Source organism: Homo sapiens, chromosome 17 (assembly GCF_000001405.40).
Source record: "Homo sapiens chromosome 17, GRCh38.p14 Primary Assembly".
Lineage (NCBI taxonomy): Eukaryota > Metazoa > Chordata > Mammalia > Primates > Hominidae > Homo > Homo sapiens.
The window spans coordinates 66,817,086-66,830,980 of NC_000017.11; the positions used below are offsets into that span (position 1 = coordinate 66,817,086).

General features: G+C 45.9%; 3 annotated features.

The window, feature by feature from the left end:
- Window positions 11,897–13,350: an enhancer, noted in NCBI's record as "VISTA enhancer hs2613". NCBI's record gives its function as "enhancer in: hindbrain (rhombencephalon)[3/7] | midbrain (mesencephalon)[3/7]" and the evidence as "EXISTENCE:transgenic organism evidence [ECO:0001131][PMID:17130149]".
- Window positions 11,897–13,709: a biological region, named in NCBI's record as "VISTA enhancer hs2613".
- Window positions 12,778–13,709: an enhancer, noted in NCBI's record as "H3K4me1 hESC enhancer chr17:64825981-64826912 (GRCh37/hg19 assembly coordinates)". NCBI's record gives its function as "activates a minimal SCP1, AML or CMV promoter by ChIP-STARR-seq in naive H9 embryonic stem cells {active_cell/tissue: H9 hESC(naive)}" and the evidence as "EXISTENCE:reporter gene assay evidence [ECO:0000049][PMID:30033119]".

Here is a 13,895-nt window from a genome sequence, read left to right on the forward strand (position 1 = left end):
GCCAGAGGCTGGTCTCAAACTCCTGACTTCAAGTGATCTGCCTGCCTCGGCCTCCCAAAGTGCTGGGATTACAGGCATGAGCCACCACACCTGGCCAAAGCCTTGTTTTCTATGGTGACATTTTCTTGCTCTCAGATCAAGTAGTAACGAGTGTTTCTTTTCAATGTCATGCTGTTCTTAGTTGGTTTGTTATCAAGTGCCTTCATTCGGTCAACAAATATTTATGTGAGCTTTAAACTCTGCACCAGGGGTTCAGTGACTACCAGGGCTCATAGCCAGGAGTGTTTTTGATTTTTGCCTCTTTTTATAGATTTTTAAGTGGCTTTCAAGTAAAAGACTTCAAGTGAATAATGAAATAAGAGTACATCAGGACGAAGGTCAATACAAATATCTTGCCATGATTTGGATATGGTTTGTTTGTCCCCACCGAAACTCATGATGAAATTTGATCTCCATTATGGCAGTGTTGGGAGGTGGGGCCTATGGGAGGTATGTGGGTCATGGGAGTGGATTTCTCATGAATAGGCTAATGTCCTCCCTTAGGGGTGAGTGAGTTCTCACTCTCAAGGGAAAGGATATTCCATGAAGAGTGGGTTGTTAAAAATAGTCTGAGTCTGACTTCGTTGATTTTGCTCTCTTGCGTCCTCTCTTACCAAGTGATCTCTTTGCACATGCCAGCTCCCCTTCCACTTTCAACTCCCCCGCCATGAGTTGAACCAGTCTGAGTCCCTCACCAGATGCATATGCCAAATCTTGAACTTTCTAGACACCAGAATTATAAGCCAAATTGCTTCTTTATAAACTACTCAGTCTCAGGTGTTCTGTTATAGCAACACAAAATGGATAAAGACAGAAAACTGGTACCAAGAGTGGGGTGTTGCTATAAAGATACCTGAAAATGTGGAAGTGGCTTTTGGAACAGGATAATGAGCAGAGGTTAGAAGAGTTTGAAGGAACAGGCATTAAAGAGATTGCATTGCTTGGAGTGGAGCATTAAGGACAATTCTGGTGAGGGCTTAGAAGATAAGCTGGAACTTCTAAGAGACTGGTTAAGTGTTTATGACCAGAATGCCAATAGAAACGTGGACAGTAAAGGCCATGATAATGAGGTGTCAGATGGAAATGATGATGACACCAATGCTTACCACTTAGGCTCTTTGGAGTGGAGGCATGAGTCGAACCTGGGGCTGCTTGAGCAGGAAGCAGTCACAAAGCAGTGCAGGGCTGGGGCATCCATGTCCACTTGGTACTAGTTCTGCAGGCCAGGTGTGCAGAAACCAAGAGTGGTAGAAGTGTGGTGGCTTCCACCTAGATTTCACAGATATATCAAAATGCCTGGGAGCCCAGGGAGAAACCTGCCACCACAGACAGTTCTCACTGAGGCAATGCCTAGTGTGGAGCAGGGTCACCATTGGGACCCCAGAACTATAGAGCCATTGGCAGCATACAACATCCATCTGGCAAAACCACAGGCACCCAACTGCAACCCATGGAAGTAGCCACATGGGCTGCACCCAACAAAGACATGGCAGCATACTAGACATAAAGGCCTGAGGCCTTTGCAAGCCCAGCCCTGGAACCAGCGCCTCCAGGTTGTGGGACATAGAGACAAAGGAGATTATTATGAAGCTTTAAGATTTAATGTTTGGCCAGGTGTGGTGGCTCATGCCTGTAATCCCAGCACTTTGGGAGGCTGAGGCGGGCGGATCATGAGGTCAGGAGATCGAGACCATCCTGGCTAACATGGTGAAACCTCGTCTCTACTAAAAATACAAAAAATTAGCCGGGTGTGGTGGCGGGCACCTGTAGTCCCAGCTACTCAGGAGGCTGAGGCAGGAGAATGGTGTGAACCCAAGAGGCGGAGCTTTCAGTGAGCTGAGATGGCACCACTGCACTCCAGTCTGGGTAACAGAGTGAGACTGTCTCAAAAAAAAAAAAAAAAGATTTAATGTCTGCCCTGCTGTGTTTCAGACTTGTGTGGGGCCTGTTACTCTTTTCTATTGGCCTATTTGTCTCTTTTGGGACGGGAATATTTACCAAATGTCTGCGCCACTGTTTTGTCTTGGAAGCAGATAACTTGCTTTTTATTTTACAGGCTCATAGCTGGAAGGAGCTTGCCTTAGGTCTCAGATGAGACTTTGGACTTTTAAGTTGATGCTGAAACAAGTCAAGACTTTGAAGCCTATTGGGATGCACTGATTGTATTTTTCATGGGAAAAGGACATGAGTTTCATGGGGCCAGGGGCAGAATGCTGTGGTCTGGATGTAGTTTGTCCTCACCAAAACTCATGTTGAAAGTTGATCTCCAGTGTGGCAGCGTTTGAGAATTGGGAGCCAGTGCGAGGTGTTTGGGTCATGGGGCAGATCCCTCATGAATGGCATGGTGCTCTTCTCAAAGTAGGGAGTGAGTTCTCTCAGGAATAGATTAGTTCCCTCCTGAGCGGGCTGTGTGAAAGCCAGGATGCCCCTCGGGTTTTGCCCCTTTTCAGGTGTCTGCTTCCCCTTTGACGTTCTGCCATGTGGTGACGCGGCACAAAAGCCCTCACTGAAACCAGGGCCATGGCCTTGAACTTCTCAGCCTGCAGAACAATAAGCTAAAGAAACCTCTTTTCTTTATAAATCACCCAGCCTCAGGCATTCTGTTACAGCAATATTAAACAAACTACAACACATCCCTTTTCCGCAAGAGTCAACAAAATTGCTGTTGTTGATTCTCAAACTTGGCTTTGCATTTTCTAACAGCCAATAAAAGTGGGAACCATGGTCACTTATGTGATTGTCATTACTGGAAAAGAGGAAGCATATGTGTTCCTTTGGGAAATAAAGCTTTTCCTAGCACTGAATCCAAAAGGAATTTCTTGAGTATAATTTTATTACCTAGAAAAGACACCAAGCAATATCAGAAATGATGTCCTCAACAACATTTTGAAGTTTTGTTGAAACAATAAATGCACTATCAAATTTCATAAAGCCTTTTTTTAGTGTTCTTCGTCAAGTTTGGGGCATATTAAAATACAACTTCATGAAGGTGACCGACCAAGAAACTCAACCCAAGTCTCCAGGTAAATAACCAATTATCTAGTCCAACTTGGTCCAAAAAAAGAATTTAGAATTCCTGGAGGAAAAGAACAATGAAATACCATGTTTTTATCTGTTAACTTGGCAGAAAATATGCTTTCTTGAAAGATTAAATCCCAATTTTGGCAAGAATTGGGAAAGTCTGCCCTCTCATGCCCTGTGGGTGGGAATATAAATTGGTACAATCTTTTTTAGAGGGCAATTTGGCACTAAGTAACAAGAGTCTTAAAAATGTGCTTACACACAGCAATTCTGCTTTGGGGGATCTTTTTCCTCTAAAGAAATAACCAAAAATGCACCAAAGACTTAGGTACGAGATGTTTGTTTTGCTCCGCCTCTTTGGGTGGCAGTAAACACAGATGGACCCAACCAGGGGCTGGCGCTGGAAATCTCTGGAGCCAAGGCAGTTCTGGGCTGGAAATCTCTAGAGCCAAGGCAGCTCTGGGAGATGGATTTTTTTTCTCTCACTCATGTAAGCTCCTCAGCCTCTTTCTCTTTTTGGAACTTTTTATTTTGGAATAATTTAAGACTCAAAATAATTTGCCAAAATAGTTCCCCTGTACCCTTCGCCCAGCTTCTTCAATGATAACACCTTACTTAACATTAGTACATTATTAAAACCAGAAAAGGGACACAGTAGAATTTTTTTTTTTTTGAGACGGAGTCTCGCCCTGTCACCCACCAGGCTGGAGTGCAGCAGTGCGATCTCGGCTCACTGTAACCTCTGCCTCCTGGGTTCAAGCAATTCTCCTGCCTCAGCCTCCGGAGTAGCTGGGATTACAGGAGAGCACCATCATGCCTGACTAACTTTTTTGTATTTCTTTTTTTTTTTTTAAATAGAGATGGGGTTAGAATACTCTTAACTAAACTATAGGCCTTATTTGAATTTCACCAGGTTTTACATACACAATACACTCATTATGTGTGTGTGTGTGTGTGTGTGTGTGTGACTATGAAATCATATGTATAGATTCATGTAACCACCACCATAATCAAGATCCAGAACTCTTCTATCCAGAAAGAAATTCACCGATGCTACCCCTTTGTCATCTTGCCCCACCCCCCACCGTAGCCCCTGGCAACCACAGCTCTGTTCCCCATCACTGTAATTTTGTCATTTCAGGAGTGTGATATAAATGGAAGCACACAGGATATAACCTTTAACCTCCTGGTGCATTTCTTCCTCCCCAGCCTGCATTTTCTCAAAAGGTCAACCGACCACAACTTCTTCTGGCCCCTCCTTAGCCTCTGATCATGCTTTTCACATCAGCGTCCATTGATGAGTGGGTCTCACCTGGTACTTTTGCCCTGAGAGAGGGAATCCTATGGCCCGGTGCATGTGTGGGTCCGGCCATGTCATCGGTCACTGACAAGTTGGCTGGATTTACTGTCAGGGGTCAGGCTCCCATGTCTGGTCCATTCATCTGTGGCGGAGCGGAGCAAGCTGTTTGACACAAAACAGGGCCACCTTGCCCATCCCGTCATCAAAGAGATGAACAAAGGGAGATCCCTTCTGAGAAGGGCTCTGCTAGGCGGATGCTTTAACTGCTATATCTACTTCACAGGTCATTGGAAAGAGCCTAAATTCTTGCTAATAGAACTCCAGTTTGGGGCTGATTTATGATAACCATGCCCTCCCTGGATCCTCCAGGGCCCCAGGGCATGGATGCTCTTGGGCATAAGCCCGTCATGGGAATTCCATTTTCCTTACCAGTGGCTGGTTTAGGCAGAGCCTGTGAGACACAACGAGACCCAAGTGAGAACTCCGAGGAGCCATTCTTGGCCTCCAAAAGTCCTGTGGGAATGAACTGGAGATCAGCTCGACATCAAAGAGCTCCCAAGGGTTTCTCAAATAGGAGATAGCATCATTCTGTGTGGTTTCTCCAGAGGGCCTTACTCAGGGAATATTGGACAGAAAACCGCTGCTGTGGCATGAGCAGTTTATAGCAAAACAAAACAGAACAAAAACCAGTAACTATGGAGAGAAGACAAACGGCCAGAGAGGAGATGCCGGGAAATTTTATTAGACTAAAAAAATGCAGTGTAATCATTTTGTGAGTTGACTCCAAAGGCCCCACGTGGTTTCTATGCCTGGGAAGGTTCTAATGCCTTCCCCAGGTACCTGGTACTCGAAGCCTGGTGTCCCCAGGCTTTGCTGCAGTTCCAAAGGAACAGAACACTGTCCCCTCGTCCAGCAGCGTTAGCCCACCCAGGGAGTGGACATCGTCCTCACCTATCAGTGGGGTGACTATATAACTAACTGTTATATATATAACTATATTCCAAACCAGGACAGGTGTGAAAGTACAAGAGAGAGCCATTAACTCTCCCGGGGTCATGGTCATGAGCCAGGACCACCCAAAGCAGCTGTAGGGTCACCCAGCAAGCTGCCTCACTGCTTCTGGTAAGAGCCCTGCCACCTGCCCAACCTCCCCTCACCTTTTGGGAGATGCCCATCCCCTTCTCTAAGCTTGTGACTCTGATATCATATCTATTTCAGGGCCTCTCAACCTCGACATTGCTGACATTTGAGGCTGCATTATTCTTTATTGTGAGGGGCTGTCCCATGCCTTGTAGAATACTTAACAGCATCCCTGGCCTCTACCCACTAGATGCCAGTGATAATTCTTCCCACAGTGCCTCTGGACATTGGGCAAATGTCCCCTGGGGAGCAAATAGCTCTAATCCCATCCTTCTGGCCCAGGTGTGCCTCTGGGTTAAAGCTTCCCTGGACAGTTAATGGCTTTCTAATCTTGGGGCCTAGAGAGACTGAGTCACAAGGCAGGGCAGGAGGCCACCTATGAGAATGGGCAAAATGGGGCTGTGGAGAACCCCTCAAGAAGGGGGAGAAATATGTTCTTTTTTTCCCCAAGGTTGTTTCTAGAATCCCTGCTATGACATGCAGGGGCTGGTGTCTCCATAGGAGACCATCCAAGCCTCCCAACCAAATGACCTCCATGCCCCTGGAGAACCAAGCGGGGGTACAGTCCAGAAACATGTTGCACCTGCAGTGGGAAGATTGTAGCTGGGTCACCCCCACCCCACTGGGACATGCCAGGCACATTGAATGAATGAATTCCAGTTTAGTCTTAAACTCACTGATGGACTCTGTGTGAGTGCATTTAATTTCTCTGATTTTTAATTTGCTCACTGGAACAACAAAGAAAAGATTGCTGATCTGCCTTACATGGGTGCAGGGTGAAATGACCTCCTCCAGCCCATTCTCTCAGAGGCCATTTAGGAGATCCAGAAGCATCTATTGGCGGATGGCCACTGCTGGTTACTGCGGGGTCTTTGTAAGGAAAGTGAGGCCTGGAGGGAGAGGGCCACTCCATGAGTACAATAGGGACTAACCTGCTGTTTCACCAGGAGCATGGTAAGAGTAGCAAGTCTCAGTCCTCATGTGACACCAGACCATAATGTCCTTGGAAGAAAATTAGGACTTGGTGGAGTGAGACACTTTGCTCTTAAGTAACTAAAAAAGGGGTGAGGGTCTGTGTCTTTCACTAGCAGGGAAATTCGTCAGGATTCAGAGCCAGGGGAGATGTTTTCCCATATCAATAGGGCCATACCCCCATGCCCGCTTGCTTTGAAGCCAGCAGATAGATGTGTAGGCAGAAAAAAGTCTCAGTTAACATCTAGCCCAGTGGTTTTCACCCACTGGTAACTCTGGCAATTACCAACCTTGGCAACATCTGGAGATATTTTTGGTTGTCACAGTTGGGAAAGGGGTACTACTGGTATCTAGAGGGACAGGGGCCAGAGAGGCTGCTAACCATCCTGCAGTGAACAGGGCAGCACCACGACCCCCATCCTGTCCCGCCCCCATCAATGATACATCAATAGTTTTAAGGTTGAGCTGGGTGTGGCTCATGCCTGTAATCCCAGCACTTTGAGAGACTGAGGCAGGCAGATTGCTTGAGGCCAGGAGCTTGAGACCAGCCTGGGCAACATGGTGAAACCCCATCTCTACTAAAAATACAAAAAAATTAGCTGGGTGTGGTGATGCATGCCTGTAGTCCCAGCTACTCAAGAGGCTGAGGTGGGAAAATCACCTGAGCCCAGGGGGTCAAGGCTGCAGTGAGCCAAGATTGTGTTGCTGCACTCTAGCCTGAGTGTCAGAGTGAGACCTTGTCAAAAAAAAAAAAAAAAATGTCTTGAGGTTGAGAAACCATGATAAGACTGGGACACTAGGGTTTGTCCTCCATCCCCGGGAATCCCATGGGGAAAGCTGGGGGTCTCCACCCTCCCCCCACCCATGGGAATAGAGGCAGGGGTTAGAGGTCGTATCTCCCGCTCCTCTGAGGTTGTCTTGAGCCATCAGTGGAAGAATTGCTTGACCCCATTGCAGAGTCCAGCACTCATGAGGTCTAGGGAAGACACCGAATGGTCCTGACCCAGGCCAGGAACTTTTGACTATGGCCACAGGGGCTGGCACTGGGCAATGCCTACAGACTCACAGAAGACACCTGACCAGGTGAGATCTAAGCTAGTATCCCCCATCCTCCCTTTCTGGGTAGGGTGGCACCTCCCTTCTTCCCCCCGGGGGGGCCACAGAGGGGCCCCAGCATGCCCAGGTGACTCATTACCAGGTTCATCAACAGCACCCAGAAAACGTTCTTCCTTTACTATTCCCTCCCTGCATCTCCTGTGATTACACACTACCAACACCTGCTCCCAGGACGGAGCCTGGCACTTTAGCAGACAACTGTGAATGATCTAGAAACACGACCCTCCCCGCAGGGATTTAGAATTGGATATGCACTAAAACTCAAATTATAACAGGAATCATTTGCTACTTTGGGCCAGGCCTTGTGCTGCACACTTTGAATACAGCATCTCCCTCCTTCTCTCAATAGCCTCTCAAGGTGGGTATTATAAGCATTATGCCCACTTTTCAAATGATGAGTCCAAAACTTACAAGGATTAAGTAACTTACCAAAGGTTCTTGGCTACAGTGGCAGACAAAGATGAGATGCAACCTGAGACCCAGCTGACTCCAAGGCACATGCTCCTAATCCTTGGTGAGCCTCCGCTGGGACTGCTCCATCAGTGAGTTCCAGGTAGGCAGAGGCGCTGCTTCCCAGTGACTGAAGCTCCTGAACTCATCCCTCTGGCTGCAAGCAGCGTTGCCCTCTCAACTCGGGGGCCCTCCATAACTGTCATTGTCTTGAACAAGAGCAGGATCACAGCCTGTGCTAAACTTTCTCCTATAAAAGCAAACTCTGACAGGAAATTTTAGGCACTTCCCAGTAGATGGTGGTGGCTGAGGAGCTGGGAATCTTTTCTACCACACTGTGGGAGCAGAATCTCTGGTCTTCATAAGTGATGGCTGAGCGATGTGTCAACCTTCATTGAGGCTTCCAGAAGCTAGAGGCTTCCAGATAACTGGAGCCAGGCCCGTTTTCTTTTATTTATTTATTTATTTATTATTTATTTATTTATTTATTATTATACTTTAAGTTTTAGGGTACATGTGCACAATGTGCAGGTTAGTTACATATGTATACATGTGACATGCTGGTGCGCTGCACCCACTAACTCGTCATCTAGCATTAGGTATATCTCCCAATGCTATCCCTCCCCACTTCCGCCACCCCACAACAGTCCCCAGAGTGTGATGTTCCCCTTCCTGTGTCCATGTGTTCTCATTGTTCAATTCCCACCTATGAGTGAGAATATGTGGTGTTTGGTTTTTTGTTCTTGCGATAGTTTACTGAGAATGATGATTTCCAATTTCATCCATGTCCCTACAAAGGACATGAACTCATCATTTTTATGGCTGCATAGTATTCCATGGTGTACATGTGCCACATTTTCTTAATCCAGTCTATCATTGTTGGACATTTGGGTTGGTTCCAAGTCTTTGCTATTGTGAATAATGCTGCAATAAACATACGTGTGCATGTGTCTTTATAGCAGCATGATTTATAGTCCTTTGGGTATATGCTCAGTAATGGGATGGCTGGGTCAAATGGTATTTCTAGTTCTAGATCCCTGAGGAATGGCCACACTGACTTCCACAATGGTTGAACTAGTTTACAGTCCCACCAACAGTGTAAAAGTGTTCCTATTTCTCCACATCCTCTCCAGCACTTGTTGTTTCCTGACTTTTTAATGATTGCCATTCTAACTGGTGTGACAGGCCCGTTTTCTAAGAGGCCTATTTGCCGTGCCCAGGTGGAGTCCCACTTCCTATAACCAAGCTCAGATGAATCCTACATAGCTTTGCTGGTTCCAGAAAGGCAGCTGGAGCCTGTGGCAAAGCAACATTGCTTGGATTTCAGCAGCGGGTGTTTCCTACCTGGGGGCTCACCATCCCTTGCCATTTCCTCAGGAGGCTTGCACAAAACCAGTGTCATAGGCTCCATACCCACTAGGATGGCTAGAGTCTCAACAACCAACCAAACAAGGAAAATAACAAGTATTGATGAGGATGTGCAGACACTGGAACCTTCCTACATAATTGGCGGGATGCAGTCACTATGGTCAACAGCCTTTCCATTCCTCTAAAAGTTAAACATGGGGCTACCATATGACCTAGCAATTCCACTCCAACATATATACCCAAGAGAAGTACAAACGGGTGTTCAAACAAGTACATGTACACCAATGTTCCCAGCAGCACTATTCACAATAGCCAAAAGGTGGAACAACTCAAATGTTCATCAGTGTATGAATGGATAAACAAATTGTGACACACACACACACACACACACGAATATTACTCGATCAGAAAAAAGGGACAAAGTCCTGATGCATGCTTCAATGTGAATGAACCTCCGAAACTTATGCTAAGTAAAAGAAGCCAGATACAAAGGGTTATGTATGAAGCCATCCTCCTTACATGAAATATTCAGAATAATCAACTCCACAGACACAGGAAGCAAATTGGTGGTTGCCGGCGGGGGACAATGGGGAATAACGGCTTAAAGAGCATGGATTTCCTTTTGGGGTAATTAAAGTGTTTTGGAACTAGATAGAGATGGTAGTTGCATAACACTGTGAATGTACTAAATGCCACTGAGTTGCTCAATTTAAAAGGTTAATTTTATGTTATGAATTCATGATTTTATCTCAATACAATTTGTTTCTTAATTAAAAAAAATTAGCATCATAGTTACACCAGCCTGGGCAGGCGGCTGGACGGGTGCATTCTAAAAGTATTGTATTCTTCCTTAAGCTCTACAGGACAGCTGTACCGGTTGCTTTAGTAAACAACATTTGCCCCTTCTTCCAATAGCTGTCTCCAAGTTTCTCCTGAGGACCTGTTCCCATCACACTTTCCAGTCCAGACGCCAGTGATCTGAGTCCATTCATTCACTTTCCTGGTTTTCTGTCACTTGCCATCGAAACAGTCCTGACTGATACAGCCATCTTCAATGTTTCCGTGGAGCATACCCTAGTTTTTGTTTAATTTCAAGAGGCCATTGAGAGATGTTCAAGTTGCAATGTGAAAATTCTAGCTTCCAAACCTCTACTTCAATCTGGACAGAAAATTTCAAGTTTCAAGTTACATTTAAAATGTTTTCTATGATGGTGATAATGTCCATGTACTTAAAGCCAATAAACTACACACTTTAAAAATGGTTACAAAGGTAAATTTTACGTTCTGCATATTTTAACACAGTATAAAAAATAATAATAAATGTTATTTTTTCTGACTATATGATCATGGTAAAAAAAAAACCTTGAGCCATATAGGAAAGTATGAAGAAGAATATAATTATCACCCACAATGTCTGTTTCAGGGCTAACAACTGCTAACACTTTGGTATATTTCCTTGTAGTCTTTTTTTATGTTTTACAGTGTGAAATACTGTGTATATATACACACTGTGAAAAATGAAAAGAACTATTGTTGTTTACCCTGAAACAGATATTATAGATGATAATTATATTCTTCTTCATGCTTTTCTATATTGCTCATTTTTTTACCATAAACATATAGTCACAACAAATAACATTTCTTATTTTTTTACACAGTGGTATATCAGTGGTATATATATATATATACACACACACACACACACACACAGTGAACAATAAATGAAATGAAAAAATAAATTATATAGTTTTTTGCCCTGATTTTTACTTAACATTATACCATGAACATTTTTTCTACCTGTAAGTTAAGTATTAGTCCGTTTTCATGCTGCTGATAAAGACATAACTGAGGCTGGGTAATTTATAAATTTACAAAGAAAAAGAGGTTTAATGGACTCAGAGTTCCACGCGGCTGGGGAGGCCTCATAATCATGATGGAAGGTGAAAGCCATGTCTTACATGGCAGCAGGCAAGACAGAATAAGAGCCAAGCAAAAGGGGTTTCCCTTATAAAACCATCAGGCCTCGTGAGACTTATTCACTACCACGAGAACAGTATGGGGAAACCGCCCCCATAATTCAATTATCTCCCACTCCATCCCTCCCGCAACACATGGGAATTATGGGAGCCACAATTCAAGATGGAATTTGGGTGGGGACACAGCCAAACTATATCAATTGTGATTGAAACTTAATTTTTAGTGGCTGCATAATATTCCATCCTGTGGGTGCAAGATACTTAAGCTAATTAATTCCCCAATGGTAGATATTTAGAGAGTCTCCTATTCGTCTCCATCATAAAATAAAATGAAGATGAATATTGATATTTAGATTCCTAGAAGAGGGATAGGAACAATTGCAATGTTTTTGGTCCAAACTGCAGATACCCCACAGAAAGTACCCATAGAATCACCCTTTTCTCAAGCCTTAATCACTGACTGAAGCCTTAATCACTGACCACCAGCCTGGGATGGCAGCTGGTGGGTCCCTTATGGAGATCTGTGGCTGGAAGACACTGTCATGGCTGGAGGGGACACTTCTGGCCCCCATCCCTACTGGCTGGCACCTCCATGGCATACACTCTTTCCTTCCCAGATGCTGCCTGCCTAGAAAACCACTCTTTCAAAGCTTTTTTTTTTCCATTAACGTCAAAGCTAGGAAATGGCTATTTAAGATGTTATTTTCTGTCATCCCAGGAACCAGGAAATTGGGGAGGTGGCATGAGCCTGGTCCTGCTTTATTTGTTCTGAAATACATGGAAATGCTCTCATTTCCTGGCCTCCCTTTCTCCTCACTCCTATCCCCGTCCCTACTTTCCAGGGCCTTTGGCTTTGTTTTGGGGGCCCTCCCCACACCATGTCACTGATGTCTGCCCTGTGCAGTGTGCCCTGTGGAAGGCGGCAGCTATTTGACCTCTCTTCCCTTGCAACCATCCAGAAACCTGCTGAGCTGGCGGCCACAGCAGCCACACTTCTCACGGGCTGAGCGTCCCGAAGTTCTCTAAGGAGCCGCTCGTGTGTAACACCATAGCCCATGTGAATCCGTGCTGACATCCGCACAGATGAACGGATCAGATGAGATTTAATCTCCCTGAGGCCCATGGGCACGAGTCACTGGAGTTTTATGGGGTCCAGTAAAGAGCAAGGAAAAGTCCGGGTCTTACAAGGCTGTAATCGCCTCTTAGAAAGAGTCTCCCCTAACCACCTGGTGCCTTAGCCCTGCAGGGAGCTGTCCAGATGCTGACCCATTTAAGCGCAGCTTCCTCGGCCGCCTTCAGACCTTCCCCGCCAAGGTTTTTTCCTCCCTGTTCCTGATGTATTCTGCTCCATCTGGGGCTTTTATTGGGTGTCGTTTCCTTTACCACCCTATAACTTTCTCAGCAGTCAAAATGGAGAAGAGTCTTCATTTTGCTGATGGGAGCCCTGCCCTTGGAACTGTTTTATAAGCAATCATCCAGTTACTAAGGGGAAAAATGATGAGAGCAGAGGACGAACAGCTGGTCTTAGGGGAGCCAGAAGGGCAGCTGGGAGAACAGCCAGTGGGAATCCGAGCTGCTGCTTGGTGATCCGGCAGGGACGCGGATGGCTGTGTGAACTCTCCCAGGCTTCACACTCGGATGCATCCGGAACAGGAGACCGCACACTCTCAATGAGGAAGAGATAGGGTTCTTAGGAAGCCACATATGAGCCCTGATGAGGCCCTTAGTGGGCTGTGGAGAGGAGAGGGACGCTAGCTGGGAGGGGCTGTGGGGAACAGCTCAGACCGAATTGAGAGGTGGTGGGAAAAGGAGGGATGTGGCGAGGGCTGAGTGAGGGGGGAAGGGAGAGGTAGGACCAATGTCCCTGCAGACTCCACCCCCACCCCCACACACAAAGTCAAGTCCAGGAGAAAAAGAGGGAAACACAGGACTGAGTTCATGAGCAAGCAGGAGCAGGTGAGTGAACAATCTCATCTGGAGGCTTAGCACACCCAAAAGCACAGCCCCACCTTCTAGGTCCCCACCAACCAGCTCGGACAGGAAGTGCCATTTGGTGGCCCAGCCTCCTGCGTGAAGCAGAATGGACAATCAGCCTCTTGCTTTCTGAAGCACAGTATTCCTTGGGCCTCCTTGCCAGCGACTGTCACCTCCGCCTTCCCTGTTTGCTCAGTCATCCAGGCTACATGGCTCTGACACAGCTCCCTGGGTCCCCTGCTGAGACCAACTTTTGCATGCTTAAGCCCTGACAGCTGGCCTAAAGATTCCAGCTGTTGTGCCCACTCACAGCATGGGTGATGCTGATGTGGATGGAGCCTCAATGTGCCATTCTCCTTTGAGCACTAGAATTTGGCCATATGTAGGGCAAATTACCTTTTTAATCCTCCATAGCCTTATCTGGAAATAGGGGCTAGCAATTGTCCTAGCTCAGAGGGCTGTTGTGAAAATTAAATGTCTTAACACATGGTAAGCACTTAGCAGAGTGCGTGGCATGTAATTGATATTAGCTGTAGTGG